At 50.1% G+C, this 9,046-nt stretch overlaps 1 protein-coding gene across 8 annotated transcripts in view; it reads left to right on the top strand.

The window, feature by feature from the left end:
• The window catches only part of RALY (RALY heterogeneous nuclear ribonucleoprotein), a 90,974-nt gene extending 84,326 nt beyond the window's left edge, over positions 1–6,648 (top strand). For 6 of the 8 annotated variants that reach the window (XM_011528695.4, NM_016732.3, NM_007367.4 and 3 more), the window contains 2 exons: positions 269–317; positions 1,674–6,648. In XM_011528695.4, coding sequence (XP_011526997.1) covers positions 269–313 — 45 coding nt within the window. In that variant the 3' untranslated portion in view covers positions 314–317; positions 1,674–6,648. The remainder of the gene's footprint in view (positions 1–268; positions 318–1,673) is intronic. The other 2 variants (XM_017027731.3, XM_047440016.1) reach the window with 1 other exon arrangement.
• The last annotated feature ends 2,398 nt before the right edge of the window (positions 6,649–9,046 follow it).

Here is a 9,046-nt window from a genome sequence, read left to right on the forward strand (position 1 = left end):
TGCAGGCTCTCTGCACAGAAATGGGGCTCCTGCCACTCCCAGAACACCCTTCACTGGCCTGTGTGGGGTCCTCAGACCACCCTTCCAAGTTCCCAAGCCAGCTTTGTTGGCTGGTCCCATAGTCATTCCCCTTGGCTGTTCCTGCGTCTTCTGACTGTGTCCTCTAGATGCCCTCTGGACCATGAAGTTTTTCTGGACAAATGGCTCAGGGCAGGACTCAGAGCTGGCAATGAGTGATGTGTGGTCTCTCTTACCTCCTCCCTATCAGGAACACAGCCAGGACACAGACGCGGATGATGGGGCCTTGCAGTAAGCAGGTACAGGGGTCCTGTCCTGATGGGCAGAGGGTGGGGAATCAGTGAAGTGGAGGTTGTGCCTTTTCCCTGGATTGGGCAGGAAGTGTCACGAAGCATACCTGGCCAAGTAGCACTGACTATACCCAAGAATGAAGTCCCCTCCATATCTAGCCATCCCGTCACACCCCTTCATGCTTGGGGCTTGCCATGCTGAGGAAGCAGGTGCCGTAGATGGGCCAGGCGGGCCCACCTAGCAAGGGTTCCTTCCCTCAGCACACTCAGCCATGTTGCCTGTCTCTGCCCTTGAGGAGCTCCTAGTCTGGTAGAGGAAGACATAAGCCATTACCACCTAGTGTGAGCAGGATAACAATAGAGCGAGGCCAGGTCATGGAAGAGATGATGTGTAGCTGAGCCTGCTAGTGATTGAGGGAGCAATGTTCCACACCAGGGGAATGGCCTTAGCCATACAGAGCTGTGACAGTCCTTGGTATGTGGTGAGGCCAAGAGCCTCCTGTGGCTGCAGTGCCCCCCTAGTTGGTAGAGGACTCTGCTTATTGTCAGAGGGTGATGATTGTGAAGGGCCGTATGTGTCAGGCTTAGGGGCTGGGATTTGATTCTTTCATGGGGAGGAAATGCCCTGTGTGACAGGAGCTGCACCTGCTTTCTCTGAGTTCATCTTCAATCCCACAAGCTGATGATTGTACCAATATAATAGATGTGGAAACAGACACTAAAGGGTGCAGGGAGATAAGGTAGTAGTTGGTGGAGCCTGGATTTCAGCCCAGTGGTGTGTGGCTTCAAAGCCCACTCTCTGGCCACTGTTTACCATCTACTCTGCCCTACCTTAAAGGAAAGCCAGGCCACACCTGGCTGTGCCTACTACTCTCTGACCCATTCCCTTGGGGTGGCTTGGGTGGAGGAAGGTCTCAAACACTAGTGTTTCCAGGGAGGTGTCTGGATAGATGACACATTTATGCTGTAGTAAGATATCCCACCAGCAAAGGCTTCCAGAAGAGCTTTAGAAAATTGTACATATGCAGTCTTCTTTTGGAACTTCTTGGTTTGTTTTGCCTGGGATGCAAACAAACCTCCATATCCAGCCATCCTGCTACACCCCTTTGTGCCTGGTGCTTTCCAAAGCTTGTTAAAATAGTTCACAGGTGAGTTATATGGGCTCAGGTGAGGAAATGGAGGTTCAGAGAGCGGGTGAGACTTGCCCAAGGTTACATGGCCAGGAAATTATGAGGCCACAGCCAGAGTGCAAGAATCTCTCTGTCTCCAGACATCATTCCACCCTTTCTTCCCTACCCCTTTTATCAGCAACAGGGTCTCTTCCTCTCAGCCTTAGTCTCTTCTTTCTCTCTCTCTCTTTCTCAGCCTGACAGGAGCAATGGCCACCAGCAGGTGAAGGGCATCGCTGCCCCAGGCCTCAAGCCGGGCACCCAACCCTGGATGCCACCCCCCAGCGGGTACCAGAGGAAAGCTGGCAGCAGGCGCCTCCTCCCCCAACGCATCCCAGCCAGTGCCATGTCCTCTGCAGGTGGAGTTACTGGCCTACTCCTTCCCCATGAGCCCTCCCTGTCTGCACTGCCCAGGCCAGAGGGTAGAGCACAGGGGTTTCCCCATACTACCTCCCCTCCCCAGGACACTCCCAGGCTTGGGTTTTTTCTATAGGTTTGGCGGGGGGCCACAGGGAGGGGACCCTGACAATAAAGAGATTGGATCCCAACCTGTTCTGAGATGGGATGGTTTGTGTTTTCTCATGAAGATATCCCGGCCCCTCTGCCAACCAAAAAGCTGGTCTAGGGTGCCTAATACTGATCCATCTGGACCTTAGTGTCCTCAGTGGTGATTAAAATGGCCAGTGGGGCCACTGGGGAGGGTTGGATATGCTGGCCCATGAGCATCTTGCTGGCTGAAGTGTCAAGCAGTTGTGACCCACTTGGTTTACCCCATAGTAGGTCAAGACCTTATCTCTTTCCCCAGCTTCTAAGTCTGGTCTTTCCCAGCTCTTAAAAGGATTCTAGAGTCTGCCAGTCTCTACCTTCTCTCTTCTGGCTTAGGACACTATAATTTTTTCATTTGGACGTTGTCCTCCCACCAGCCTCCCAGTCTTCTGCCTCTGCCCTGTACCATCTCCCAGCAGCCACGCAGTCTTTCTGAAACGTATCCCTTCCCTGCCTAAAATCCCTTTACTGACTCTTCATCATCAGGACAAAACCCTACCTCCTGAATGTAGGGTGTAAGATCCTGCTTACTCCAGCCTCTCCTGTTTCTTGTCACCACCCCTTTCCTGCCCCTGACACAAACCCTACATCTCAGTCTCACAAAACACACAAGTTCTTCACACTCCGGGCAGGTTTGGTAGCAAGGAATAGAGCGTACTCCAGTGACAGCAATCAGTAGGAAGTTTGCATCCGGAGACACGCAGCCTGTCTGCCCCTGTCTTGGGCCACCCGTCTAGACATTTGTTCTCTAACAATCAGCCGGGTTCCTTCAAACGTGTGCTGCTTATACATGCTCATTGTGTACTGCTAATGTCACCTACTTCCCCCTTCATTCCCCACAATGAATGGATCCATTTTCCCCATGTTCAAGTTCCCAAGAGAGAATCGACTGCCACTGTAATTTTTTTTCCTAATCACTCATAGGTTACAAGTACCTACCCTGGTCCAGTGAACTGCGGGATTCATATGTGGCCACTTAGGCTGGTCTCGTTGGTATGGAGCTGTGGGAGGGCAGCACCCAGAAATAGGCTTTGTTCCAGGCCTGGCACGTACTCCTCCTGCTCCTACTTTCTCTACCTGGGAAATAGCCGCTCAGGACGAAGCTGCTGCTGTGGTGTCGCCACCTCTGAGAAGTCTCCCAGACCCTCCGACTGCTCTTTAATTGCCTGTTCTCTCCTCTGGAAGCCTTCCCCCAACACAGAAAAATTCAATCCCATCATCAAAAAGGGCTTTAGGTTTTCCCTCCATCTTTACGTGTTGATCAAAGTTTGCAGATCTGCTGGAATCCTTATTGAAAACTCCCCATTTCAAACCAACCCGGTCTACAGCCTCCAGGGAAGCTTCCTCCTGGGCTTTGGCTCCATGTTTTGGTAGAGGGTGGAGGCTTTGGGCAGTGCTCAAACTCCACCGGGAAGTCTCTCTCACTGAGCAGCCCTCCTGCCTGTCATCCTGGGCAGGCGAGCACTCTGAGGCCCCAGTGTAGCTCTGTGCTTTGATATTCCCAAGCTCTGCTGGGGCCTGACTAGGCCAGCCCCAAGGTGGCCAGAGTTCTGGCTTCATACCTGAGCCAAAAGCCCCAATCCATGCTTGGCCATTGCCTGAGTATTAGCTGCCCCAGGGGGATCACGGTCCCCATATATTTGCTTGCCATGGACCCTGGGCAGCAGGGAGAGAGTAGAGATTTGTCAAGAGCCCATGGTGGAGGCTGAGGCCCTGAGGCCATGAGATGCAGGCATGGGGTGAGAAACAGGCCCCTTGGAATTGGGCTGGGCCTTGGCCCAGCTTAGTCAAATCAAAAGGCTTCTATTTGGAGAGCTGAAGAGGGTGTACAGAGGAAGGGGCTAGGTCTGCAAGGAGTGCCTCATCTCCCTGAAGAGCTCTCAGTGGAACATACTTCACCCATCCATGTACCCACATCTTTCCTTGCCCAGAAGGCGAGAGCCAGCTATAACAGACCCATTTCAATACCCTGGCAAGTCATTACTGCCCTTAGCTCTTGGTGTCCCCATCTGTGAAACATGGGGGACAGCTGCTAGCCTGGATTGGAACTTGGGCAAAGTCCAAAGAATGGGATTTAGAGCTGAATGAACCTCACACTGAGGGCACAATAGCACTAGGCACTGCCCCCAGAGCCTAGTGCTATATGCCTGCTGCAGGTCCTACCCAAGCATGCTTTACTGAGGAACTCAACGTTTCAGAGCTTGAGGGTCAGGTTGATCATGGGCTTGTGACCATAGGCTTCCTTAGTATGCCAGGCTTGGAGAACCGTGAGAAAAGCAGGGAAGATACCTTCAAGGGTAGCAGGCATCAGCTCTACTCACCTTGGCCCATAAGGCTTTGCCTGGTCATGCTGGCACCGGGTCATATGCTGGACAGGGAGAACGAGAGTCCCATCCTGGAACTCCAGAAAAGCCCCTGGATGCTCCAGCCCCTGGGAAAGCACACAGCCAGGCCCTTGGGTGGGAGGTTGGCTTCTAACAGTGCATACACATGCCCTTCCTCTGAGTCGGGGCAGCAAAAACATCCATTCCGCTGCGCAACAGTTGTCATTTTTCTAACATCTGAAAACTCCAGAAGGAGATGGTGATAAATGTGGTACCGGATTCTGCCTAAAGGATCAGTCTTTAGATGTTTTCAGATTGAAAGCCTCATTTGTGATCCTCACAGCCATCTTGAAAGAATAGAGCAGCCAGTGGGTATACTGGATTGTGAGCTAAGAGGCCTGGGACTTTCCCCCTGTTGCTGCCAGCCAGGTTGATGACCCTGGGCAAGTCTTTTTCCTTACCAGGTCTCAGTTTCCTCAGCTGTAAAATGAGAGGTTGATCTGGATCAGGGATAGTAAATGGGCCTTTGTTCAGTTACTGACTGTTGTATAACAAACCACCCCCAAATTTAGTAGCCTTAATAAACATTTATTAGCTCCTGAGTGAGTGGCTTGGCAGTTTGGGCTGTGTTCAGTGTGGTGGTTCTTATCTCATCTGGGCCCTCGTGTGGCTGAAGTGAGCTGGCAGATCAGCTGGGGACTGGCTGGTCTCAGATGGCCTCGCCCGCCTGTCAGGTGGTTGGCTGGGCAACTGGGCCACACGTTCCAGCATCTAGCAGGCTGACCCAGGATTCTAGACATCATGGCTGAGTTCCAAAAACCGCAAGAGAAGACAAGCCCAGTATGCGAGTGCTCTTGAGGATATTGCTATGACGTATCTTTTGGCCAAAGTAAGTCACATGGCTAAGCCCAAATTCTTCTTAACAGGAGGAGCTTCAAAATATGGCCATATTTAAAAAATCTACCTCAGGACTCATTTCACTTGCCAACTCAGAACTTTTAGTAGCAGCTGCCTGGAGTGCCTTTTGAGGATCTGCAGCAATTTTCAGACTGTTTGGAAATACTGACATGATAGTTTGGCAGTTTCTCTTATGAGCATGGAATTCAAGTGTGGGCACGTGAGCGTCAGGTATTTGCCATCCCTGGCCAGGTTGACCCGTAAGGTCATAACCTGCCCCATAGGATGTTATATGCAGTAGGCCTGTCTGACAAGACCACAGAAATAGAGAAGGCAAAGCAGAGCAAAAGATTCTGAGCCAGGCATCCTTGGTTTTCATCCCAACCAGATCATTGATTGATTGAGGTTTTAGGCAAATCAAAATCCCTCCACCAGTAGCCAGATTCTTCATAATAAACTTCCTCCATAACAGTAAACCATTTCCTGAACACCTGCTGTTAAAAAGCACATTTTACATTTACTTAATCTCCACAACCACCCTCAGTAGGTGTAGTAAGGACTTCTGGTTACAAGTTACAGAAACTGAATTCAGTCCTGCTTAGTGGGAGGAAGTTTATTGGCTCACAAATTGTAAAGTCCAGGGATCTTCAGACATGGGGACTTGGGTTCAAAAGCTGCCATCGAGAATCCGGTTAGCCAGGCATGGTGACACGTGCCTGTAGTCCCCGCTACTTGGGGGACTACAGTGGGAGATCATTTGCACCTAGGAGGTTAATGCTGCGGTGAGCCATGATCCTGCCGCTGCACTCCAGCCTGGGTGACAAAGCGAGACCCCAACTCAAGGGGAAAAAATCTGGTTTTCGGGCAGGTTCCAAGAAGTGGTAGAGCATGGCCATAGGGCCTGTGAGAATAGAGGGACAGAGGGGAGAATCCCCAAAAGGAGAGCAAGGCTTGGCTAACAAAAACAGGCATCCACTGTGTGGTTATGTCTATTCTATAGATTTTGTAGATGAGGTTTAAAAGCATGGCCCCAAGTAAAGGTGGCATCTCTATCCTATCCTCGCCTTTATCTAAACTCTGTGACCGATCAATAGCATATGATGGTGGTGGTGCTCTGCCAGTCTCCCAGTCCCAGACTGAAGCACTAGCAGCTTCCACTTATTATCTCTTGGGACTCTAGCTCTTGGGACCCAACCACCATGCTGTGAAGCAGCCCAGGCCACACAGAGAGGCCACGTGTACATGTTCAGCTGACAGCAGTATCAAATGTCAGACATGAGAGAGGAAGGCTTCAAGATGACTCCAGCCCAGCCACCGTCTGAGAACAAAGTAAGAACTGCCTCACTGATGCCATTCAAAGCCCAGCACCATGAGAGATAATAAAACGTTGTTTGAAGATGCTAACTTTTGGAGTGATTTGTTGTATCAGTAGATAACCAGGACACAGGCCCACAGAGGTTCAGTAGCTTGCTGTGCTTCTCAGGGGGCTAGGTTAAGAGTATAGGTTTTGTTGCTGGGCGCGGTGGCTCACGCCTGTAATCCCAACACTTTGGGAGGCCAAGGCGGGCAGATCACGAGGTCAGGAGACCGAGACCATCCTGGCTAACACGGCGAAACCCCGTCTCTACTAAAAATACAAAAAAATTAGCCGGGTGTGGTGGCGGGCGCTTGTAGTCCCAGCTACTTGGGAGGCTGAGGCAGGAGAATGGTGTGAAGCTGGGAGGTGGAGCTTGCAGTGAGCCAAGATCGCGCCACTGCACTCCAGCCTGGGCGACAGAGCAAGACTCCGTCTCTTGCTGACTCTTACCCATATGCCTGCATCTGTCTACCCTCTTTTCTATGTACTTGCTCCCTGGATGACTTCATCCGTGGCTTCAGACTCCACTCATGGCTCCATAATCTTCACCTCTAACTCATTTTCCTCCCAAGAACACCAGGGGAGTAGGTACAGATGCCCATCTAATAACTGTACTTCGATGTCCACAAGGACCTGTCCAGCCCCCACTTGCCCGTGTCAACCTCCTCCACTGCTCCATTAATTTTTCCCTCTGTGTTAATTTTTCCCTGGTTATCTTAGGTCCTTTCTGTGTCTTAATTGGACTTTTGCAGTAACCTCTAACTAGGCTCCCTGCTGCTCTTCCTACTCGGCTATCCGTTTTATCACCATCCCATTGGGTAAGATCCACACCCCTTAGCATGACATCCTAAGATGTCCAAGATATGACTGACCCCTTCTCAACACCTCCCCTCCCGTAATCTGCCTCCTCCATGTCTCAAGCCACGTGGAATAAATTGTGGAAAGACCTGTGCTGTCTGGCTTGTGCCTTTACACATGCTGTTATCTCTACCTCAAATGCTGTCTTCCCCCACTGGCTAACCCTTGTTATCCTTTATAACAGCTCAGAAGTTGCCTGCTCAAAGACACTTTCTTGGCCTGAATTAGAACTGCCCTCTCACGTGCTACTTCCATCACAGATCTTACCATCTATTATATTATTACATACACACACACACACACACACACACATAAAATGTATTTTGAGATCAGGGTCTCACCCAGGTTGGAATGCAGTGGCACAATCTCTCGGCTCACTGCAACCTCTGTCTCCCAGGCTCAAGCAGTCCTCCCACCCCAGCCTCCTGAGTAGCTGAGACAACAGGCATGTGCCACCATACCTGCCTAATTTTTTTGTATTTTTGGTACAGATGGGGTTTCACCATGTTGCCCAGGCTGGTCTTGAATTCCTGAGCTCAGGAAATTCTGATCCTGAAATTCCAGCCCAATAAAAGGAAAATAGTTCTATGTGCCAGGCAGGCCTGGGTTAAACATACTATCTTACCATTACCTCTTTAAAGTGGACATTTTCCCACTTTACAGCTGAGAATACAGGATAATAATCAGTGGCATTTGGGGACTGCCAATGTGGACTGTTCAAAGACCATGCTCAGCATTATCAAGAATGAGCAAGCACTTGCCATTAGGGTACTGACTTAACAAACTATGGCATAATGTGGATGGACTCTTAAGTAGTCTTTTAAAATTATGAAGCCTGTAATAACTTGGAAAAATGGTCTGGATACTAAAAAGTTATATGGTGGTAGGATTATGGGAATTTAACATTTTAAATTATAATCTCATCTTCCCAATTAAAAAAGACCACCTCACCTGCTACAAAGCCCAGCTTCTAAGAACACATTGCAAAATTTAACGTTCTGTTCAATTGCGAAGCCTCAGTATTGTCAGGGCAAAGATCCGGAAGGGGAGCCCAGGTGCGGAGCTGGGACCTCACATACCACAGCAGCACTTCTTCCAGACTGTCTGGCCCAGCACTTTTTCTGCAGAACCTATCCTATGTTTGTCAGGTGGGGGGAGAGGTGTGCAAAATTCTGCATATTTTATACTCCCTTTAAAGAAACACATTCAAATACGTATCACCTACAACTTTCTAGGCATTGCCTGCTGTCAGTATTGGGGATACATGAGTGAACAAAAGTGTCTGCCCTCAACACTTAACATTATGGTGTGCTGGAGAAACCATCTTTATAGTGGGCAGGGACCCAAGGAAGTGTGGGAGTGAGCCAGGTAGACACCTCGGGAAAAGCTTTTCAAACTTTCCTGTAGGTGGGAGTGAGGGGCATGGAATCAAGGTTTTCTAAAAAGTAGAGCTGCAACTGCATGTCTTCTATATGCTGATGAAAATGCACAGCACTGGCCAGGCACGGTGGCTCACGCCTGTAATCCCAGCACTTTGAGAAGCCAAGGCGGGCAGATTGCTTGAGGTCAGGAGTTTGAGACCAGCCC

Source organism: Homo sapiens, chromosome 20 (assembly GCF_000001405.40).
Source record: "Homo sapiens chromosome 20, GRCh38.p14 Primary Assembly".
NCBI classification, from domain to species: domain Eukaryota; kingdom Metazoa; phylum Chordata; class Mammalia; order Primates; family Hominidae; genus Homo; species Homo sapiens.